This window comes from Homo sapiens, chromosome 18, assembly GCF_000001405.40.
Source record: "Homo sapiens chromosome 18, GRCh38.p14 Primary Assembly".
NCBI classification, from domain to species: domain Eukaryota; kingdom Metazoa; phylum Chordata; class Mammalia; order Primates; family Hominidae; genus Homo; species Homo sapiens.
The window spans coordinates 10,139,487-10,163,711 of record NC_000018.10 but is presented as its reverse complement, the minus strand read 5'-3'; the positions used below and the strand labels follow the sequence as shown (position 1 = coordinate 10,163,711).

At 45.3% G+C, this 24,225-nt stretch overlaps 1 long non-coding RNA gene across 1 annotated transcript, besides 2 other annotated features; it reads right to left on the bottom strand.

The window, feature by feature from the left end:
- Nucleotides 1-644: 644 nt before the first annotated feature.
- Nucleotides 645-4,541, bottom strand: LOC124904247 (uncharacterized). The gene is made up of 2 exons (XR_007066286.1): nt 4,309-4,541; nt 645-2,324 (listed from the first exon to the last, which is right to left on the bottom strand). It is a non-coding gene; the product is annotated as an uncharacterized LOC124904247 (long non-coding RNA).
- Nucleotides 12,753-13,254: an enhancer, noted in NCBI's record as "OCT4-H3K4me1 hESC enhancer chr18:10150455-10150956 (GRCh37/hg19 assembly coordinates)". NCBI's record gives its function as "activates a minimal SCP1, AML or CMV promoter by ChIP-STARR-seq in primed H9 embryonic stem cells {active_cell/tissue: H9 hESC(primed)}" and the evidence as "EXISTENCE:reporter gene assay evidence [ECO:0000049][PMID:30033119]".
- Nucleotides 22,729-23,228: an enhancer, noted in NCBI's record as "H3K4me1 hESC enhancer chr18:10140481-10140980 (GRCh37/hg19 assembly coordinates)". NCBI's record gives its function as "activates a minimal SCP1, AML or CMV promoter by ChIP-STARR-seq in primed H9 embryonic stem cells {active_cell/tissue: H9 hESC(primed)}" and the evidence as "EXISTENCE:reporter gene assay evidence [ECO:0000049][PMID:30033119]".

The window sequence follows — 24,225 nt, the reverse complement described above, 5'->3', positions numbered from 1 at the left end:
GAGACCACACATTAAATACGAAAGAAGTGTTAATAAATACCAGAGAATTTTCTCTGACAAACTTGTAATTGTATTAGAAATCCACAATTAAAGATTGTTTAAATAAATATAATTGGAAACATTAAAATAGCACTTTTATATAATTCCAGGTTAAGAGAAACCTGTTGTAGAAATTACAAATTATTTAGAATAGAAATGAAAGTACTCCAATATCTATTACAAGTGGCACTTAGAAGAAAATTTATTGCGTTAAGTGTTTATTAAAAAAGCAAAATGAGTGCATTTATATCAACAAATTAACTGCTCAATTCAAAAAGCTTGAACAAAAAGAAAAGTAAATCTAAAAGAAGATATAGGAGGTAAATAATAAAGATAGGAGCAGGTATTGATGAACTAGGAAACAAAGATTTAATAGAGAAGATCAACAGAAACAAAAGCTGATCCTTTGAAAACGCTAAATAGAATAAATAACTAGTCAGACCCACTGAGACAAAGAGAAAAAAACACAACTGATATCAGCAATGTAAACATGGATACCTTAAAGATTTTCAAAATCACAAGAAGACACCATAAATCACTTTCTGCCAACAAACTTAAAAAATTGGAATGGATACTTTTCTAAAAAATATAAAGTTATACATAAATTTAAGTTAAAACATCAATGTAAAGTTTATTCAAGAAGATACAGAAAACCCAAGAGAACACATAACTATTACAAAAACTGTTCTAGAAAAAAAAAAATATTGCCCCCAAAAGACACCAGACCCTCAGTGACTTTACAGGGAAGTACAATGCAAAAAATTACAGTCCAATTTCATTTATGAAACTATGCAGAAGACTCAAAATACTGGCAAATTGAGTTCAGCAGTAGGAGAAACCTGAATAGGTTGTTAAAATGTTGCAGTTGATGCAGAAATACAAGAATGGCTTGAATCAGTCTTTTAAAAAGGATAAAAGTAGTTGCCTACTCCAGGTCACTGTTGTAGGGAAAGAGGAACAGGCCTTACACAGCATATAAAGGAAAAGTTTAGAAAAACTTGCCTATAGGGAATATGAAGGTCAGAAGATGATATAATTGCTAGAGGGAAAACCATGAAACGATGAAGGGACTAAGAGAATGTTGCAATTTTAAAATAGTGTTTATTTTAGAGACAGCGTCTCACTCTTTCACTCAGGCTGGAGTGCAGTGTTAACCATGATAGCTTACTGCAACCTTGCACTACTGGGCTCAAGTGATCCTCCGGACTCAGTCTCCAGAGTATCTAGAACAACAGGTACCCTTCCCCATGCTCAACTAATTTTTTTATTTTTATTTTTTAGAAACAGAGTCTCACTGTCTTGTCCAGGCCGGTCTCAAATTCCTGGCCTCAAGCAGTCTTCCTGCCTCAGCCTTCCAAAGCACTGGGATTACAGGTGTGAGCCATCACACTTGGCCTAAAATAGTATATTTTTTAGTTATCTTTTTAACCTAATGGTAATCCTACAGAGGGTTCATTTGTAAGTTTCTTTTCATTCAGTTTTTCAGGTATGGGAGAGGTCTATGTTAAACATGTTCTAATTAGTTAGAATATAATTAAAGCTTATAATTTAATCAAAAGACCTAGTTGTTTTTTGAAATATATGTAGTTTGCAAGTGCTGTTGTTTCTGTTACCTACATAGTATGGGGCTGTAAAATGCCATATGGCATACAAAGCTAGTGGAAACAGATAGGAAGGTTCAATCTGGGCCCAGAGAAGACCCATAAGTTGAGGCAAACAGCATCACGGCTGCAACGCACACACCAGAGGGAATGGGGAGTTTGCACCATAAGTCCCTCCCCTAGTGAGGCTTGGACAGAAACCAGGCCTTGGCAGACCCAGCTTCAGACCCAGCCTCCCTGATCTGGATGGCCTGGACTTCTTTCCAGGGTAGTCCTGATGAACATCTGGCACCTATGTCCCAGTTTGCTGAGGAGTTTTCACTGCCCGAAGGAGGAGGCAGCACCTCCTTGGAGGGTTTCCTACAGAAAAATGTGGAGATGGCACTCCACCCGCTGCCCTGAGCACGTGGGTGAAGCTATTCGGACCAGGAATGCATTTAACAGGAAGCCTGGGACAGTCACAACCTGAGTGCCGAGAAATGCGGCCAAGAGCATCCATCCGCCTCCATCAGTGGACAGTCCGGCGGCGTGTGAAGGAAAGCTGCTTTCTGGGGCCTCCAGAGGGTGAAGCGTTGACATCATCTACGCTGGTGACGTTAACCAACTTAATTGATCACAGGGCATCCATGTCCCATGTCTCCAGCCTTAGTGTCCTCAGCAGCTTGTGCAAAGTCTTCTCAGAGGCTTTGAGGAAAAATATATCAATAGATAATTTAATAAGTAAAAGTGTAACAAAATATAGTGTTTAAAAATCACAAGTGTTGTGTGATTTATAGGATTCAAAATTGAATTAAGGCCCTGTGAGTTTTCCAGTAGCCCTCTCCTCCCTTGCTGCACCGACCATTCCAGACCTTTGTAGGAAGCTTCTAGGCATTTCCCCCAGGGGACTCCCCCCTCCCCAAGGACCTCAGAACCGCACCAGGATGAGGGTCACCGCAAGCTCCAGACTAGCAACGATGGGTGGCCACTGGGGTTGTTGCTGGGGTAGACCCACTGGGGGGTGAGCTACCCACTACTCTGGGCACTGGGAAGAAAAGAGAACAGAACCAAGTGATTTGAAAATCTCTATCAGTTCACATGGGAAAGCAGCTGGCAGAAAGAGGGGAGCACAGGCCCAAGGCTCCCCAGAAGCATTTCTCAGGGACTCACTCCTCAGTCAGCTGATCACTGCCATGCAGGCTTTTGGTGTTCTAGACAGGACCCCAGCAGGTCGGCAGCAGGCTAGCCCCGTGATCATTTTATAACTGTACTTTTCACCTCTGTTTTATCAGTTTATAAACCCTTTCAAAGTGAGTTTTCAGCTCTCTGACCCAGGAGTAATGGTCTGTGGTAGACCATTTGTATGGGGGGAGTTTAATTTTCATTTGTATTTCCTCTTAAAAGTTTCCTTTTTCAAGTTTAGGTATGTAAACTAAAAATAAATTCCTAAGCTCCCCCATCACCTGAATGGACCCCTCTTTGCCTGGGGACCCTGGAAAAACCTTAAAACTAAGTTCCCGGCCATGACAGGACGGGAGGTCAGACGCGTCTCATTATACCCTTCCCTCTAGTGGTTTAGACACAACAACTGACCAGCATGAATGTTAAAGTCAAGATCATAAGACAGACACAAGGGACCCTTTGTGGCAATGAGATACCACATTCCAAAGAGGACCGAAGGCCGTGCCAGGCAAGGGTGGAGTCACACAACCCTACACTTCAAGAACAAAGTGTGTTCTAAATTCCACAAGGGTTTTCTTTTTCTCTCGAAGCTGAAAAAGCACTCGCATAGAGAGATAAGTAATATTTTAACAGGGCCCAGCACGGTGGCTCACGCCTGTAATCCTAGCACTTTGGGAGGCCAAGGCAGGCTGATCACCTGAGGTCAGGAATTCTAGACCAGCCTGGCCAATATGGCGAAACCCCGTCTCCACTAAAAATACAAAAATTTGCTGGGTGTGGTGGTGAGAGCCTATAATCCCAGCTACTCGAGAGGCTGAGGCAGGAGAATCGCTTGAACCCAGGAGGCGGAGGTTGCAGTGAGCCAAGATGGTACCACTGCACTCCAGTCTGGGCGACAGAGCAAGACTCCATCTCAAAAAAAAAAAAAACAAAAAAATTCTAACAGTTGTAGCTCACCAACAGACACTGACTAACTGACCCCTTGTTCCACCAGCCATCACTACAGCTTTGATTGGACAAGACACTGATTTCAGTAACCTTCTCCAGTTAAGACCACTGACCATGCCCTCATTCTGGCCGGTTTACAGAGGCTGCACACTTGCATGCCTTCATGTCCTGAAAAGACCTTTTGACATATAGGACCTAATTGTAACACATTTAAATGTTAAGTCTCCACCCCAAAGTGAACATGGGTCATATGTTACATACACGCTTGTTCAATATGCAGGTCTCAGAACTACCTTCATGAACATTCACAGCTCTTCCTGTAATCTGTTGAATGGGTATATTTAGACAACCTGTCCAGCATAAAGCTCCAACTCGCACCCCTCCTCCATCCAAGTGCTCTGGTCTTTGTAGACGGCTACACTTCCCAGCCCATGGAATGGCCACCTTGCAGGCTGTAACCCTTTAGAACTAACAAAGTCTCTTTCTCCAAATGTATAAAGATCTCCTGATGTTTTAAAAGTTAACAGATCTGATTATGAGCTGGTTGGTGAGAGCTCACCTGGGTGACCATCCAGGTGTTTTTCCTCATTGACTCTATGGCCGTCCTGGCCCACAGCTGCAGAACAGCCCCTCCACGAGAACTGGAGGCATCCGGTGTGATACTGTCCTATCCCCAGTGAGACCACCAGCAGGCTTTTCCAAGAGACCTGGGCAATAAATGAAAAAGAGTGTCTGTGTTACTGCTGCTTTAAAGGGCATCAAACAAATGAAGGAAATAGAAAGGGGGAGGGATTAAAGATGAACAGACAGACAGGAAATCCACACAGTGATTGTTGGCTATCTTTTGAGAAATTTCTTAAAGGATTGATGTCTTAAATACCTTTGTGTCACTGTAATATTAAAATTATTAAAAACAGTTACTGTTCACTGATCATTGTGGTATTTGATGAGAGATTCAGTCAACATTTGACCTAATTTTCCAATCATTAAATTTCTGTTTACATTATAGTGGGGAAAATGGAAACATTAATAAGCACTATAAATTTGTCCTTGGTTAGTTCATATTATTACACTGATACAAATGGAGATTATTCACACCAATATCACCCCCAGAGGAAGAATTCCAAAGTGGGCCTGCAACATGGATGTGGTTGCTGGGCCCCGAAGTAGAGTGCTCAGGTGTAGAGGGGGAAAGAAAAAGGAGAGGCCCCCCCCTTGCACTTCTTGCTCTCCGTCTATCTGAATAATCAAAATAATTCCATCATTTTCATACACAGTCCTGAGACACTAATAAGGTAAGACCATTTCCTTGAGGAACAGATAACCCTTCTTCTCTCTGTTAGTGTATATCCATTCTCCGGTCTTTTTGTGAAGAGACTAAATCTGTCACCTCTAAACATTTATTTGCAAAAATAATAATAATGATGATTTTATATGCAAGCTGCAATAGTCCATATCTGCCCATCACACAGTAACATCAGGCATTTGAATGTGTTTTACCCCAGATCCTATTCAAGGTGCAAAGGTGTAATATATCAAAGAATATACCTGGTCTTTTCCCTTAGATTGTGGCCTGGAGCTTCAAAACCCTTGGAATTTCCTGATAAAAGTCTCTTTTGTTATTCATAATGAGCCCTTTCAGGCATGTCTGAGATTTTTTTGTTTTTATTTTTGGTTTTGGGGGGTTTTTTTGAGATGGAGTCTTGCTCTTGTTGCCCAGGCTGGAGTGCAATGGTATGATCTCGGCTCACTGCAAACTCCACCTCCTGGGTTCAAGTGATTCTCCTGTCTCAGCCTCCCGAGTAGCTGGGACTACAGGCACATGTACATGTCACCACGCCTGGCTAATTTTTTTTTTTTTTTTTTTTTTTTTGTATTTTTAGTAGAGACAGGGTTTCATTATGTTGGCCAGGCTGGTCTCAAACTCCTGGCCTCAGGTAATCCACCCGTCTCGGCCTCCCAAAGTTCTGGGATTACAGGCATAAGTCACCACGCCAAGCCCATGTCTGAGTTTATACTAATGAGGGGGTGACTCAGGGTGAGCCCTTAGATAATTCCAAGGGAGGGACTGACCATGCCGGAAAGACTAAGCATGCCCCGCCCTCTGACTTCTGCAGAGGATGGGAGGGCTGGAGATTAAGTTCAATCATACAGCCAATAGTCTAATCAATCATGCCTATGTAAGAAAACCTTGATAATGACTCTGGACATCAAGTCTCAGCTGAGCTTCTGGGTGGTAAACACCTCAATGTACCGGGAGGATAGTGCTGCACAGAACAGAGGGGCTCAGGCTCCCAGACCTTGCTGCCCTCTGCACCTCTTCATTTTGTTGTTCCTTTGAACTCTATACGATAAAATGGCAACCATAAAGATAGCCCTTTCCTGAGTTCTGTAAGTCATTCTAGCAAATTATCTAAATTTGGGGGGAGATGAGTTGTGAGAATTCACCAATTTGTAGCCGAGTTAGACAGAAGTTTGGGTAGCCTGGGGGCCCCACTTGGAGATGGAACATAAAGTAAAGACACTCTTTTGGGGGCCTTTGCCCTTCAACCTGTAGATCTAATGCTAAGTCTAGGCAGTTAGTATCAGAGTTGACCTGAATTGTAAGATAGCCAGTTGGTGTCAGAGAGTTGGTGTTGAAATGCAAAAAGGAAATAAAAATATATAAATAATACTTCCAGTCGTAAGTCTCTTCCAAACTAGTTATGACAGTAAGCCATCAACCCATATAAAGAGATAATAATATAATGCAGTAACTAATTGTCTTAGTCTGTTTTGTGCTACTATAACAAAGTACTTGAGACTGGGTAATTTATAAACAACAGGCATTTATCTCTCAAGGTTCTGGAGGCTGGGAAGTCCAAAATCAAGGTGCCAGCAGTTTCAGTGTCTGGTGAGGGCTATATCTTCTGGAGGGAAGAAACACCCTACCTTCAAATGACAGAGGGCAGAAGGGCAAGAGGGACAAATTCTCTCGGTCAATCCCTTTTATGAGGATACGTAATGCCATTTATGAAGGAAGAGCCCTCATGGCCTAACCATCTCCAAAGGCCACACCTCCCAATACTGGTTATGCTGACTTAACTAACAAAAGACCAGGAGATTTCTGAGGCAGACAACCATACTCTTTTCTCAAAAAAGACACTGTGAACAAAATTCATGTTTGCCTGGTTTTTCAGTCCTCCTATTGGAAACAGCCTACTTGACTTCATGCTTCTTAAAAACAATAAAAGCTTTTACATCTTCATTTGATTGCTATGCCATCGCACACACAATCAGAAAATGCAGTTATGACTTTTGCACATTTCTAGCGCTGTTGTATTCCTAACGATGGCACCACTGACGTACTGTGATGATATGCTTTCTAATCATGGCTTTGTGTTTGCAAACAATTGAATTTGGGTTGGTATCTTAACCCAGTTCCTGTGCAATCCTCCTCAGTGTGGAGACATAACAGCACACATTTCATACCCAGAATAGCCTGGCTTCTTCCCTCCACTCAGAAAAAGCTACAGGCCCACCTCCCTTGTCTTTGAGGAGCACCTGGTGGCAGCATTCTTCTTTGGAAGGAAATGTGGTAAGGAAATGGAGTAGGAAGAATTACATGTTAAACTCACATCTTACCCCTTGGCTCTAACTCCAAAGTATACAAGAAATTCCAAGTAAATTTTCTAAATGGGTGGGAAGAGACAAAGCAAAATCCATTAGGAGGATTATAACAGATTTACTTTGTTCGAAATTGGCGTCTAATGACTCTAGAAAGTGATACCTACACAGAAAGCCAATTACATCTTTAGCCTAGAGATGCCAACACTATTTCCAAGGAAAGAATCTGCAATATCCCTAGACATTCTGATTTTCTTAACATTTTTCATACCGCTTGTAAACTGCTTACTTGGGGGGATCACATGTTGGAATACAACCCAATCAGCTCTGTAAATTTTCTGTTACCCTATTAATGTCCAAGAAAAGATGAGATGGACTTAGATTGTACTATTTGATTTTTGTTAAACAGTTAATGGTATCTCTCATTTTTTTCAAACACTTTCCATAGATTTCTAGTTTTTAGCCAAGCTCATCTTCCCTAGACTATGACAAGCCATCAAAAATCTGTTTTAAACCTGCTTTTTCAAAATTCATCAGAGTATAGAGTAAAACACGAAAAAAAAGTGATCATTTTATTTTGTTAATCAGAAAATACATTCATTAGTCAGGGGAGGATGGCTTATGCTGTTGCAACAAACCCCAAACCTCAATGGCTTAACACAAAAATAGTTTGTTTTCCTCCATGCAAATTCTGCTATAGATCCAGGTAACTCTCCAGGGCATCTCCCCTCCACGCAGTGACTCAGTCCTCCAGGCTGAGAGGCTGCTGCTCTGCAGTCAACACAGCAGAGAATGCAAGAGTGGCAACAGGTCTCGCATTAATTAAATGCTTGGCTCAGAAGTAACCCACTTACTTCCTCTCATAACCCCATTGATTTAAACTAGCCTTATGGCTACAGCATGGAATTGTCATCCTACTGTGTGTCTGGAGGAAGAGAAAGATATGTGGGAGGGCACTAGGGACCACTGCCACACATAGATTCTCAGATTATGTATAGACAAGAGAATGGTGCCCTGTCTCAAAAGAGGTCCTAAAACTAGCTTGGCTTCTAGTGATCTTAAGCAACACTCACTATTCAACAGAAATGTAATCCAAGTCATAACTGTGAGCCACGTAACTAACTTTGAACTTTTTAAGTAGCCACCAAAAAATGTAAAAAGAAATGAGTGAAATTAATCTTAATATATTGTATTTACTCAAATGTATCCAAATATTATTTTGTCATCCAATCTATATATATATTTTATTTATATATATATATTTAATATATATATATATTTTTTTTGAGATGGAGTCTCGCTCTGTCACCCAGGCTGGAGTGCAGTGGAATGATCTCAGCTCATTGCAACCTCCACCTCCAAGGTTCAAGTGATCCTCCTGCCTCAGCCTCCTGAGTAGCTGGGATCACAGGCACCTGGCACCACGCCCGGCTAATTTTTGTATTTTTAGTAGAGATGGGGTTTCACCATGTTGGTCAGGCTGGTCTCGAACTCCTGACCTCGTGATTCACCTGTTCCGGCCTCCCAAAGTGCTGCGATTACTGGCGTGAGCCACCACGCCTGGCCCCAATCGATATTTTAAAATTAATTATTTTGCATTTTTGGTACTAAATCTTCAAAACCCAGTGTGTATTCTATACTGACAGCACATTTTAATTTGGACTAGCCACATTTCAACTATTCAGTCACCACACGTGACTGACAGATCTGGTAGCTACTCTGAGTGATAGAGGAATTCATGATTGTGCTTGATCAGCACTGATCTGCCACACATTATCATATGCAAATTATTTCCATTATTAAAACTAAGGCACTAAGGAGATGTGCCTAGAGATTAAGTTGAATCATACAGCCAATAATCTTGGAGGAGTCAAATAAAACACCCAGGCCCTTAAGGGATTGAGCCAGTATCCAAAACTATGTGTAACCCCAAAGCCTGTGCTTTTTCAAAATCCTGTCACATAGAACTTTAGAGCTGAAAAGAACAGATCAGAAACTGAAGGACTATTTAGTAAGCAATGATATCCTGCCTTAAACCTTCATCATTTTTCTTCTCCTTAGAGAAGAGTTTAATTGTATCCCCTCTATAATCAGGACTTTATAGAACCAGTATTTCATTTTGTACCTTAGAAAACAAATCATTCTCTAGCTCCTTAAATGTGTTGCTTCTCAGGAATAGATGTGCCGGGGAGGAGCAGGAGGGAAGAGAAATAGGGCAGGCCAGGCAGAGGTTAAGAGCAGCCAAAGGAAGGAGGCCAAAACTTAGTGGCTTAAAACAACTATTCCATTATAGCTCATAATTCTGTGGGTCAGAAATTCAGGAAGGGCTTGGATGATATTTTCTGTCCCACATGGAGGCCACTCAGAAATGATTAACTGGTCTAGAGGGTCCAGGGTGGCTTTGGGCAGGGATGATGGGAGACTGGCCCACTCAGGACTGTCCAGCAGGGTGCCCCGGAGTCCCTTCCATCATGGCAGCCTCAGGGTAATGACACTCAGGGACAACTCAGGGATCCAAAAGAGAGTGTCCCAAGATTCTGGTGGATACTGCAAAGCTTTCCGTGGTCTAACCTCAGAAGTTCCAGAACACCACTTCTATCCCATTCTATCACTCAAACAAGTCATTTAGGTAGATTCGAGGAGAGCGTAATTGGATTTAACTTCTCAATGGGAGGAGTAGCAAAAACTTTGGAGCCATCCTTAATCTACCACAACCAGAAAATAAAAACAGTAGCTTGGCCAGATCCGGATGCAGTGGCTCATGCCTGTAATCCCAGCACGTTGGGAAGCCAAAGCAGGAGGATTGCTTGAACCTAGGGGTTTGAGACCAGCCTGGGCAACATAGGGAAACCTCCATCGCTGTAAAAAAAAAAAAGTTTAAAAACTAGCCTGGCATGGTGGCACACACCTGTAATCGCAGCTACTCATGAGGCTGAGGTGGGAGGATCCCTTGAGCCTGGGAAGTTAAGGCTGCAGTGAGCTACGATCACACCACTGCACTGCAGCCTGGGTGACAGAGTGAGACCCTGTCTCAAGGAAAAAAAAAAAATAGAAACCGTAGCTTAAGCAAGGTAGACACTTATTTTCCTCTCATAAAATCCTGGTTGGAAGCATCTAGAGCGGAAATGGAATTTCCAGGGACCTGGGTTCCTTCTGTCCTCTTACTCTGCTTTGCTTGGGATATTAGTTTAGGACAAGAGTTGGCAAACCACAAGCCCATGAGCCAAATTTGACCCACAAACTCTTTTTGTAAATAAAGTTTTATTGGCAAACAACCATGCTTTCATTTAGTTATTTGCTATGGCTCCTTAAAGAGGAGGACCTACATCAGAGACTATGTGGCCTGCAAAACTTAAAATATTTACTATCCAGCCCTTAACAGAAAAAGTTTGCTGTTCCCTGATGCAGAGTATGATCTGAAAATTGCACATATTATGTCTGCACACATGGGAGCTGCAAGGGGGGGGTAAGAAATATCTTTATTCTAGGCAGCCATGTCCCATCAAAAACTGGAAGTTTTGCTACTATAGATAATGTGAAATGCATACACCAGAGCCGACCCGCAGACTCTGCAACCCAGGCCCAGCTGCACGGTCAGTTTGGAAGTCTACACAAGCATCTAGAGGACCTGGACACAAACAGGGCTAATTCAGGTGCCCAATTCATGTCCCAACTCTGTCCTGTCAGGCGACTAAGGCAGGGCTCTGGGAATCCAGGGACAGGTGGAGTAACTCGTACACAGTCAGTGTGGGAGTCTTAGCAGGTGACTGGGTCCTGCCCGGACTCGTGTGGGATGGAGGGCTGGGTAAACTCATTGCTGCAATAAAAGGGACAGAATCTCAGTGCAAAAGAGACTAGAAAAAATGTTAGGTTTCCAGAGAGAGGCTGGAATTCAGAGGGGAAGATGGAAGCCCATTTGATATAGTAGTGGTGAAGATGGAAGGTGGCCCCTGCCGTGAGGAAGACACCTGAGCTATGAAGAGTGGAGTATAAGCTTGGAACCAGATGTGCACATACCCAGAGTTCATGTCCAACATATCTCAAAATCTTTGCAAAGTCTGTGTGGATCCTTAAAAACTGGGGAGGGCAGAGCCAGCAGTGGGCAGGTGGCCCCCACCTGGAGGAATGGGATTATAGAGTCCAGGAGTGAGGCAGCGCCCTACAGTTTGTCCTCATCCTTCCATTTTCCACACTTCCAGTTTCCTTTCAACCACTTCAGAAAAAAAAAAAAGTCCAGAAAGTCTAATGTTGCCAAGTTTAGAAACCAGGTCGTCATTAGTGTGAGTGGAATCAACGTTGATTACAGTCTGGTCCTTTTCAAGTTTCTTTGATATCTTCAAAAGCCCAATCATCCTGTTCCATCTAGGACATTAAGAAAAATACACCCAAAGAATAGTCTTTCAAGTACATTGCCACCGTAGCTAGATGATTATTATCCTGACTATTAATTACTATTATGATTACTGTTGCCATGGTTTTTATGTTTTTCTGTGTGCCCATCCAATCCCACATCCAGCCACCACAGCCACTGCTGGGTTTTTCCTGGGAAACAGATGCCCATGTGCTGGTCTGGGCAGGCCCATACACTAAAGGCAGCCTATCCATGCAGAGCTGAGTGTATTGGAAGACAACAGAACGGATGAGCCACAGGTGAGCCGCAGGTGAGCAGGTTTACAGCCCCCAAGAGGATTTGGATGCCCAGGCCTGGGAGCTTGATGAAGAAGTGTGGTTTCATGAAAGCATTCACCCCAGTTATGCCTAAGAAAGCTCAGCCTTGGAATAAAGAGAAGCATGAAGAGTGCAATGAGGAAGAAAAACCAGCCCCTAATGAAGGACAGAGACACCAAGCCATCATCATAATCAGGAGACAGTAATAAGATAGCCCTCAAAGAAATCCAGCCAGAAGCCGGCAAGTGCACCTAGACCCCTTCGGGAACGCCAAACACCTGGTAGTTTGGGGTTTTTGTTGGTTTCTCTTATAGCGCTTCATTTATATTTCCAGTGCTGAATTCTCTGCAGTCCTCATGACTTTCAGGTTCCTGGCAGTCTCTTTCCCTCCTACCGGGTGGTGAGCTCCTCAAAGACAGGGCCTGGGTCCTCATCTGACTTCTCCCATGCCTAGAACCACACCGACATAACAGCAGGCTTGAGTAAAAAAGAATTGAATTGAATTAAGGACCAAAAGTAAAAATTTTAAGGACTCAGAGTTACAATGAACAGGAAGTGTAATGAAAGGAGCAGTTCAGCACAGATGGAGGAGGAGGAGGCAGCCCAGGAAGGAGAGTGGCTGAAAAGGCCCACACAGAGAACGCGCTTCCACATGGATGCAGCACACAGAACACGCTTCCACATGGATGCAGCACACGCAGAACACGCTTCCACGTGGATGCAGCACACAGAGAACACGCTTCCACGTGGATGCAGCACACACAGAACATGCTTCCACATGGATGCAGCACACAGAACACGCTTCCACATGGATGCAGCACACGCAGAACATGCTTCCACGTGGATGCAGCACACAGAGAACACGCTTCCACGTGGATGCAGCACACACAGAACATGCTTCCACGTGGATGCAGCACACACAGAACAGGCTTCCACATGGATGCAGCACACAGAACACGCTTCCACGTGAATGAAGCACACAGAACACGCTTCCACGTGGATGCTGCACACACATAACGTGCTTCCACGTGGATGCTGCACACACATAACGTGCTTCCACGTGGATGCTGTACACAGAGAACATGCTTCCACATGGATGCAGCACACAGAACATGCTTCCACGTGGATGCACCACACATGGCTACAAACAGACTCAGAGCACGCCTCTACACATTCTCCAACCCTTCCATGCAGAGAGAGTCAACACCTCCAGGGAAGTCTCCTTGCTGCCTATTACAGTTCAGATGTCCCCTACAGGGGTGAGCATTGATTGATCTTGGAGAGTTTGTAGGAAGTGGGTGGCGCAGTGTCCGTGTGGAGTGCCTGGGTGGAGGAGTTGCTGGAAGTTGGGAGCTCAGCCCATGCCCATGGCAGCCGATGTCAGGGTTCAGGGGAGGTTGCAGGAAGGCCCCGGATAACCCCACAGAATATAGCCAGAGAGGCATGCAGGCAAGCTGGGGCCACAGCAGACATTCTGATGGAGGGAGACAAGCTCCAGAGTAGGGCATACTATGGGAATCTACAAGTGTGTTGCCAAAACTGGTGGTACACAGTAAAAAAAAGATGTGGGGAGGAAGAGTTCTCATGTATAGGCATTGAGGAAATCAGTCAAACCAAAGCAAAACCGAAGGTGCTGCAGAGGTGAGTGCATAGAGGATGGAGCTCCCTCAGTGCCTGGGAACCCCGTGGAAGCCCATCCAGGGCCTGTAAGTGAGAAAAGGTAAGCAGTGGCCTCAGATGACACTGGGGAGGGACAGGGCATGAATCAGGATAGCCGACCTATTGTAATAAACAACCACCAGATCTTAGGAGTTTGACTCAATAAAAGTTGATTTTTTTCCCATATGGGTCAGTGGAGGAGGTGGGGGTGGGTTGGAGTAGCTCCTCTCATAGAAGCATCTGGGGACCAGGGACGTTCCCTCCTTCCACTTCTCATTTCCATCTTCACCTCTTAGAGTCCTCCATTGGGTCCTCTGCATTTAGCCAGCAAAAGAGGGAAAGAGAGAACATAGAAGATCACATTCTAGAAGCTTTTTAGAGTTTAGGCCCGCAGGTGGTGGGACATTGATCAAACTTGGCAACACGGCCTACCCAACTACAGGGAAGGCTGGAAGCGTTGTCTTGTCTCTAAGTGTATGAGGAAAAGCACATGGAGCTGGAAAAGCACGTAGTCGGAGACAAATCAAAGCAGCTCAGAGAGAGCAGATGTAGTCAGAGAACGCAAGAGAATAAAGGCCCTGATGTGGGAAGAGGCATCGCGGAGCAGGAACAGGTCAAAGAGCTTGAAGCAGGAGGGCTCTGTTGGTGCAGGGCTAATGGTGGTGTCCAAGATGTTCTTGAAGGACCCAGTAAGCATGAAATAAAAATCAAGAGAGAACAACAAACAGAGGACAGGTTATAGTCCCCGGCAGTATGGGCTCCTGTGTGTGGGGTCTGCATAGAGAGTCACAGGCAAGTCACAGCTGCTGCTGACTGGGGACTCGCAGAAAAGGCCAAAAAGGAAGAGCTGATGGCTCCGTAGAGAGAGTGGAACAAAGTTCCTGGCCACTTCCAAAACTCAACATTTGCAATCAAGACTGTAGAGACTGGGAGGTGGCACAAAAAGGTCTGTGCAGCCCTGGGGCCCACGAATCTGTAGACTCGGGCACCCATCACCTTGCAGGGTGCCTCCTGGCAGTAATCTATATGTGTGTTGTACAGCGCCTTCCTGTCCATAAACTCCGAATGTTGTTTTTCTTATAGTCTCAGAATGGCCTGGAAAGGATCAGGGACCATGCCTAAAACTAATAACCTGAAGGAAGTAATGGAGTATTGCAATTGCTCTGTCCCTTTCTTGGGAAGGCTCAACTGGAAATAGACACATCATCCCCTTCTTGGAAAGTCGGTCGATCCAAACCACCTCAGATGGAAATGATTTCTCAGGATATGTATATGGAACATTTTCTGTCTGCAGAATCTCAAAACTCCCAGGTAATTTAGGGGCAATTAACAGAATCTTCCCTCTGATTCTAGTCCAAATCTCAAAGCTTGTCTCATCCAATGTGGAAAATCGAACTTCCAAAATCCAGTTGTCAGAAATTTCCATGTGGGTAACAGTGGCCAAATCAAGACAACATCTTGAAACTTGAGGAAGATGCTAAGCTTTGTTTCTCTGCCAGCCAGCATGCTGCGCCTTCAGGGAGAGTGGGGCTAAAAGCCCCTGTGCACCACAGGCTTCTGGCCTTTTGGAGTGGCATCGCGCTCTAAAGGCACTTAAAGAGGGCCAAGCCTCTGATGCTTTGTTTGATTGTGGTTCCCATTCTCATGAGAGCTGTTTCTTCTTCAGCTACCATCATGCTATCATCACGCCACAAAATGAGATTCCAGAAGTGGGCAAGCAAGATCCAGTTTCCAGAATGAATCCCCATCTCATTCATTCACAATCTGCAGAACTCATATGAGCTAAACAGCACAAAATGAGACACACTCCTGGTCTACACGCCAGTGGCTCTCAGCTGCAGGTAACCTTGGCAATGTCTGGAGACATTTTTATTTGTCAATATTGAGGGGATTCTACTGGCGTCCAGGGGGGATTATCACTCCCAGTGACTCACTGGGGGAATTTTTGCTTCCCAGGCCCACAACACTGGGCTCTGCAGGGTCAGAGGCATTGGTTCCCCAAAAGGCATACTTTTCCCCCGGGGAGCAGAGCCAGGGCCTCATTGAGTTATAGCACAACAGCCACTTGGGCACTCTGAGGTCCTTCTGTGCAAGGAAAGGAGCCAGCATCCTTTCTGTGTTTGTCAGAGGGAGGCTGGGCTGCCATGACACACAGTGGCAGGCATGAGTCCATGTGGGTTTCAGGGGACTCACGTTGGCGCCTCCTGCGTGCCCTTACCTAACCATGACCATACGTGGGCATGTGCAGCAAACCCAGCTCAAGGAGATCACAGCGACCAGGACTTCAGGAATGAGGGTCTGAGTCACACCACCAGGTAGGACACCAAGACAGCAGGGGTGGTGTCTAGGGATTAGGGGACTCTGGACTGAGAGTGGAACTATGGCACTATGCTAGGACTGCCAGTTCAGTCCGGACACTCACTGCAGCAAAGGGGTGTAATGTGTCCCACTAATCTCCCTCTCTAAGCTTCCCCTCGAAAGAAAAGTGCACCCTAACCATGGAGGAGCTGGAGCTGCTCCCCGGGATGCATGGAGAAGTGTGGCACGTGGCCAAGAGGTAGACCATGCTAGGCCATCCGAGGCACAGGTCAGCCTTCAAGGAAGGACTTGCTGCCCCATGGCAGGAAGGACGGTCTTCAGGCAGCTTTGGGGTCCACCTGGGCTGCAGAGAGCTGCCTCATCTGAGGTCATGCCCACAGCACTGACTGAGCAAGAAAGGGCTGTAACTGATGCCCCATGATGGCTCTGGCAGTCAGCACTGGCTCTGGTGATCCCCCTCCAGTGGGCTGAGGCTTCCTCAGGCCTACATTGCCATTTAGCTTTTTCTTCTGCTCAAATCTCATTTCCTCACCGTTCTTTCCACAGGAGTTAATCTTGCACTCCAAGCTCCATCTCAGCATCTGCTTCCAGATCACCCAACCTGAAGCACAAGCCACTGAATTTTGCATGGGCTGTTGCTCCCCCAATAGCTTTTTATCAGGTGTGTGGGAATTGAGGAGGGGGATTCTATCTGCAATGCCCGCTGTGTCCCCAAAATTGCAATTTATTGACGATTTATGGTAACTAATCATCTAGGATGAGATAATAGAGGTGCCACAAAGCAGTCTGCAGCCTGAGATGCATTTATGAAAGGGCTACAGGGAATGGTTTCCAGACACTCATCCTAAGGCACTGATGGGGGGAGGGGGGGTGGCACATTTTTTTCTGCAGAGGGCTAGATAGTAAATATTGCCAGCTTTGCAGGCCACCTGGACTCTGTTGCCACTCTTCAACCCTGAGGCTGCAGCACAAAAGCAGCCACAGGCAACAGGCAAGGTGATGGCAGGGCTGTGTTCCATGCCGCTTCATACACCGAGACAGGCAGCACTCCAGATCCTGTCTGCAGAATGTAGTTTGCTGACTCCTTGACTCTTTGAACAACTGTTTAGATGGAGAAGATGCAGACCCACTGCATGAACATGAGCTCATCTTTTTCAACACTTGCTGCTGTGAGTCTTTCCTTCTCCTCTGCCTAGTGCCTCCTTCAGGGAACTTCCCATCTGGAAGAGCATCCAGGCTCCTCGCTTTGTAGGATGCGGGCAGGAGAAGCGACTTGATTAAAACTCACAGTAAGAAATGCATTTTGCTTTGCAACCCAGGATACACATACACTACTCAACATCTACTATATGATTTCAAAACATTAGTGGGCAATGTCCCCAATATTTGAAATCAATTTGATAAAGTACTGAATTGTAGTGTTTGAATGAATTAATAAGAGGAACAGAATAGAATACAATAGAGTTGAAAATATCATGCAAAATAGGCAGAAAAGGCAAGCACTATGTCATGAAATTTTTACTGAGGTTGTATGCATTTATGAAATGTGTGCATGCATTTATAAACAGATGTGTTTGTGTGTGAATATAATACCAGGGTAGGATGTAATATGTATTTCTTAGGGTAAGTCATGGTCAAAGGCTTCAGAAACACTAGCCTATGGCAATCACCCGCGATATGCTGTGTCCCAGGGGTGACACTAACTAGGAGCAGATTTGCTTGCAACTTGCATTTGAAGGATCCACACAGGCAACTGGATTGCCCATTATCCCGCCATACTCGTCAAGGCACCTTTTCAAAAAAACTCCTCTTCAAAACGTTTTCTTATTCCTTTTGGCTTTTCTAACATTATTTTCTGGCCTCTCTTCAGTGGACTTTTATGACTTCAGTTGCCAATGGAGCACTCAGGTATCAACTGCAAGACCTGCTGTGATTTCATTCATGCCTAATTACTTCAAGCTGCCTGTTGCTTGCAAGCATTCCATGTGCTGGCCTCTTTGTCCGTCCCCAGGTCTCAGGCCCCAGGGCTTGGGAGAGCCCTTTGGATGACACTCCAAATGGAAGAGTCTCACACTGACTTCAGAGCCCTCCTTCCTTCCTTGCTGAAGTGTTCTCTCCTGACCCCTGTCCTTGTCAGGCCAGGCCTGTGTCTGAGCAGATGAACAATAGCTGGAAAAGTGACTGTCACAGCCAGGCTTGGGAGGTCCTTCTGTGTGATCCCAGACAGTGCACACTCGGAATGGTTCTCCTTCCCTGTCCAAGGCTGGCAGATGCTTACACATACCCTGAGTGCCCAACACATGCCCCTGGGCATCAGCACATGGGCTCAGGGCTTACGTCCACTGAAAATACTGCCTCCCTCCACTTCATCTCTGACCCTTGATCAATTCGTAAGCAATGCCTTGCAAATGGGTGCTCAGTGTGTCTGTGCATGTGGCAGGGATGAGGTGACCACTAGGGAACCAGCAAACTACCAGAGAAGGGCTTTTCCTCATCAAGCATAGCTCTCAGATTCCCTCCCGAAAGGGCAATGAATGGAACAGTTGGAATGTGCAGAACTGTTTGTGGCCTGGGTCTGTCTGATCACACCTTACTTGCATGTGGTTAGTGTCATTTTAGTCAAGGGCTCCTTGTGTTGTTAATGAGCATGAAGACATCTAAGAGCATAACCTAATTGACTTGAGCACATTTCGATTCCTACTGAGATGCCAGAGATCAGACAACATTATGTCAGTCTCCCTTTCCTTTTTATTCCCTTCCCTTATTTCGATAGGACCTGAATGCAAAATGCCTTGAGCAGACATACTTAATCTCAATGTTCATTGCAAGAAGTGGGATGCAAAGACAGACTATCTGTGCCTCACCAGTTAAAGCAAGTGGTCCAGTAACATGAAAGCTTTGAATAGGAATTTCCAATGTTTCCAAGTTACTTTTGTTTCTCTCAAACTTATTGCTCAGGTTGGATCTTTTGATCTAAATACCAAGTCATCATTAAAAATTGTCACAAAATGAGTTGGGCAGTGTCTCATGCCTGTAATCCCAACACTTTGGGAGGCCGAGGCAGGTGGATCACTTGAAGTCAGGAGCTTGAGACAAGCTTGGGCAACATTGTGAAACCCCATCTCTACTAAAAATACAAAATTTAGCCAGGTGTGGTGGTGCACGCTTGTAATCCCAGCTACTTGGGAGGCTGAAGCAAGAGAATCACTTGAATCTGGGAGGTGGAGGTTGCAGTGAACCAAGATGATACCACTACACTCCAGACTGGGTGACAGAGTGAGACAAAAAAAAAAAAGGCACAAAATGAAGTAAATAATGATTTTTCATGCAGGATGAGTTTGTTAAGAGGCACAGACTCAACATTTGCATATTCTCTTCCTGAATCCAGACATAATGACCCATCTGAGGAAGGACAGCAGGGATGAAATCTCTCTTGACCTCACAACAACGCCAATATGCAGCACAGCATCCCTTCCTGGGTTAAGAGCTTGGTGATCTTCCCACGAACAGGCAGCTGTCCAAATGGAAGCTCAGAGTGACCTCTGTGCCTAGATCTAAAATAAAAGGAGAGAGACAGCCTGAAATTTATGCCTAAATATCCACTCCTGACACACATTCACAATCAACATCAGCAAACATGCTTGGTTTTGGCAGTCTGCTGTTTAGGATTCACATGTTTTTAGATTCTGCAGTGAATATTTAGGTTTTGTTCTTGGAAGTCAATAAGTGCCTGGCATCTAGATGTTTTTCTTCTTCATTTTCCTGAGGGAAATTACAATATTAACATAATGAACCTTAGCAAAGCTAGTGACATTCCCTTCCCGTTCCACCAAAAATAACATGCAATAATGTGAGGACTCACCCTGGAGAGACGCCAGAGTGGAAGGAGAATGATTTGTGGTGGGAGCAGCCCAGAGTGGCCTGATGACCATGCAGGGTACACAGAGGCAGCCATGCAGCCAGCTGGTCTTCATGCTACTTGTCTGTAGAACTGAGCCAAATGGCACTGGCAAGAAGAGGGCCAGGGAAGGCACCTCTGCCTCCCTCCATGACAGCATCAGGGATCCGTAGTCTCAAGGCCAAAGGACCACTGGCTCCAGTAATCACCTTGTGTGAACATCTGTGCCCCAGCTCTATATTCTCTCTCTTTTTTTTTTTTTTTTTTTGAGACAGAGTTTTGTTGCCCAGGCTGGAGTGCAATGGCACGATCTCGGCTCACTGCAGCCTCCACCTCCCAGATTCAAGGGATTCTCCTGCCTCAGCCTCCAGAGTAGCTGGGATTACAGGTGCCTGCCACCATGCCCGGCTAATATTTTTTTTATTATTTTTTTTAATTTTTAGTAGAGATAGGGTTTCATCATGTTGGCCAGGCTGGTCTTGAACTCCTGGCCTCAGGTCATCTGCCTGCCTCGGCCTTCCAAAGTGCTGGGTTTACAGGCATGAGCCACCACGCCTGTCCACCAGCTCTATCTTCTTAAAGCAGATTCCAGTCACTGGCAAGGTAATTCACATGGCAGGCCCTGCGAGGGCTGCTCAGGGCTTCTATAGCATGCACTATAGATGAGGATGATAATAATGACCTCATCACATCGTTGAAAGAGGAGTAAAAGTGCACCTGGCACATACAAAACACCCAATAGATGGGCAATCCTCCCAAGAAGGAGACTGCACTGTCATTGGCATGTCCATGTGAACTTGCTCATCAGGTGGCTTTCTGCTTTCACAAGACGGTCTGCGCAGAACGAGAATGCTGACTTGGGGCTCTCAGGAGGGAGGTTGCTGGTGGCAGGAGAGGGGATGAGGGCATGTGGGCGGGGTGAGGGAACGTGGGGGATAAACTCGATCTACTCTAAGTGTTTTTTCCCGTGCTGGCTGCATGGGGGAAGGGAGGGAGCAGGCTTCAGGAGGAGGGGTAGCAGGAACATAGCATAGGGTAACCTAGTCTCAGAATTTTTCACAATTGGACTTGGGAGAGGGCACCAGTGTTATAAAGGGAAGAGGGCGCCAAGTCGCATAGCTGGGCAGAGGCCAGGGAGGGGAGCCCTAAGTGCTGGGCCAACGTGAGGGTGAGAGCCAGGGCACCGGGAAGCAAGGGCTGTGAGTCAGGGATATTTTCCAATCACAGACCTGGGAAAAAACAGAGCTGGAATGCACTTTAAAAATCACATAGCTCGATTTTTATTTTGCACAGAAACTGAAGCCAGGGGTCCCGTCTCACAAGGAAAAGTTAGAACTTACACTCAGTTGTGTCCATTTAAATCTAACAACCCACAACTTGTTCATAAATTAATTAATTAGTTAACTAATTACAATATAAATTATCCAGACAAAAATTTGAGTCACAGCTTATTTTCCAGCTTTCAGTCACACAGTCAAGAACAAAGCGAGTTTGAATCTGAACACGAGGTTCCAGTATCGGCACTGAAATCATGATGCCCTTTATGACTTCATTATCTGTCAGGGAGAGGCTCGGAGAAACAGGAAAATCGGTTATTTGTAGCTACTCCATTATCTGAAAAATATCCGCGCATAAGTCACATTGGGCTCTAAGGGTTTTACTTTCCACAAGTAGAGAATGCTGGTGAACAGTTGGAAAATAAGAATTCTCTGGGCTTCCTAAACACAATGGCTGCTGTTAAGTTGAATTTATGTATCAGGCCACATAAAAATGTGTGAAAATGAAGAATCAGGAACTAAAGAAAGTAAACAATAGAGAAGAGAAACACTCTTGTCATAAAATCAGTCTGTCTTTTAGACAATTTGTGGCGGGTGGGAAATGGAATTTTTCACATGCTCAGTGCACAGATTTAAACTGTTGATACCTCTTTCGATGTCACAAGGTGGAGGACTTGGAGTATGTGAAAGCTGGTGCTTTCCCCAGGGACCGTGGAGAACAAATGCCCGGGCAGGAGGGCGTGCCTCGGGAGACTCCAGGAACATGAAGAGTATCCCTTGGCATGACCTTTGGATAAAGCCAACTCTTTGTGAACTCAAAGTGACTTGCTGGTTTCCCCAGAGCATGGCTGGCCCCCAAGGGTGTCTTCCTAGCAGTGGCTTGCATCATGCTGTGATAAGGGCTTCTGTCACCCTACAGATGTGAAAGCTCTCCCCTAACTCAAACATCAGCCAAGCACCCCGAGCTACCCTGCAGAGCCAGAGCCTCGGATGTGTGAGGAGTTGCCCCAGCTGGATCAACCAAATCAGGAAGAGACTTTGGCCATTTCAAAAATAAACTTCTCTGCCCACCTCAGTTCATTCGGCTGAAACAGACCAGGGTGAGTCTCACAGTGTCTTCTCCTATTTGGCTACTTTAGCCTGGGGTACTCACACAGGTCAACCCATCTGAACACATGAAAATAGTTCCCATTTAGGCAACCTCAGTTTCTCTTTTATAATCCCTGCAAAGTTAATATAGACTTTCAGGCTAGATTCTACCCAGCTCCAACATTCAACACATCACTCACCTGGTGTGAAAGGAGCCCAGGTCAATATCTAGCTAATGTGTGCCCTGCTGAATCGGCCCGATGACTAACTCTTTTATGTGCTTGCTTCTTGTGAGCTGAAAACTAAACAGAAACTATTTACAAAGCCCAGGGGCCTGAATGGGTGGCTCTCTCAGCAGGGGGTGGGGCCCCACCAAGCTTGGGATGAGGTTGTCAGCTGGGGCCAATTTAGATTTCCCTGACCGCCACTGTCAGCCTTCTCCAGCTTTTGCACAAATTCTATATTCCACTGACTATAGCCTCCCAGCCTCAAATCACTTTGGGAAGCTCTACAAAGACTCATCTCTGACCTGGGTCTTTGTTGTTATTTCCTGCATGAAAATGGGGGTAGGAGAAAAAAAGAGAGACTTTTTTTTCACTGTGTCAGAGTTTGTAAAGTGACACTTGAGTAAGTCTGTGGGGTTAGAGTTATTCAGAGCAAAGGCATACTGTGAAGGAAGCACTTTACAACAGATTGGGTAACAAATCCCGGCCCTGTGTCTGCAGGGCTGATTTTTCGCCTGAAACTAAGAGCTGCAGCTCAGCTTCCTCCTGGGCACCACTTCAGTTCAACAAGCCCAAAGCCACCCTGACCAACTGCCGTCCTAGGGCCCCTCTCACTCCTACATGAGTCTGCCATTGGCCCAGTGCTTCAAACCCACAGTCTGCCTCCCCTCCCATCAGTCACCAAATCTCACCAAGTCGACTTCCTTTCTGCTGCTCACCCCTTTCCACTCTCCCACCACTCTGCTGCTGCCAGTGTGGATGGGCCCGTATCCTCTCCACCTGCACTAGAGTAACATTCCCCTCGCAGGGGCCCCTGCTTCCAGTTCATCCCTCCAATCCTTGCTCCACACTGCAGTCAAGGGTGAGCTTTCTGAAGCAAAAACTCTTCTCAAGTCATTCCCTCCTTGCAGGGCTGCCAGGCCTGCAGGGAACACTGTCCAGTTTTCTAGGAGTGCAACTGAGTCAGGGGCGGGGATTCTGGAGGAGGCTGAGATTTGAGAAGGATGAGTCAGCTCCAGACAAGTTGAGTTTGAAGTGGCTTGAATCATCCTGGAAAAAATGTCATATGGGAAGCAGATAGTCTGTCTAAAGCTCGAAAGAAATGCAGCGGCTGGAGATGGGCCCTGGAAAAACGGGCTTTATCTCTGGCCCTGTCCTCCACAGATCCCGCTGTCCTGCACCATGTTTCAGACACACTGGCCTCCTTGCAGTTCCACATGCCCTTCATGCCCTCATCTCCTGGAGCTTTACAGATGGAGACCCACATATGGAAACACTCTCTCCAGCCTTCTCACACGCTTTGCCTGCTGATCCTCTACTTGTCCTTCAGGACTTGGTTTCAACAGCAACCCCAACAGGATGTGCTCCCAAAGCACATGCACTTGCCACCAGGGCCACATTGATCGTTCATGCTGAGATCAACTATTTCCTGTCTTCTCCCACCACTAGACTCCAAGATCTGGGGTATGCGCTCAGTAAATATCTGTTAAGCAAAAGAATGATTAATTGTTTAATTATTTATCTACAGTATCAAGAAGTTCTATAAGCCCCAGGAAAGATAAATATAAAGAAATGCACACCTAGACATATCATCATAAAACTGCAAAAAAAAAAAAAAAGACAAAAAGAAAATCTTAAAAGCAGCCAGAGAAAAAAAATTCAAGTACCTTCAAGTGAGCAATAGATTGACAGCTAATGTTCCACACAAAAAAACCCCAAAAACCAAAAAAAAAAAA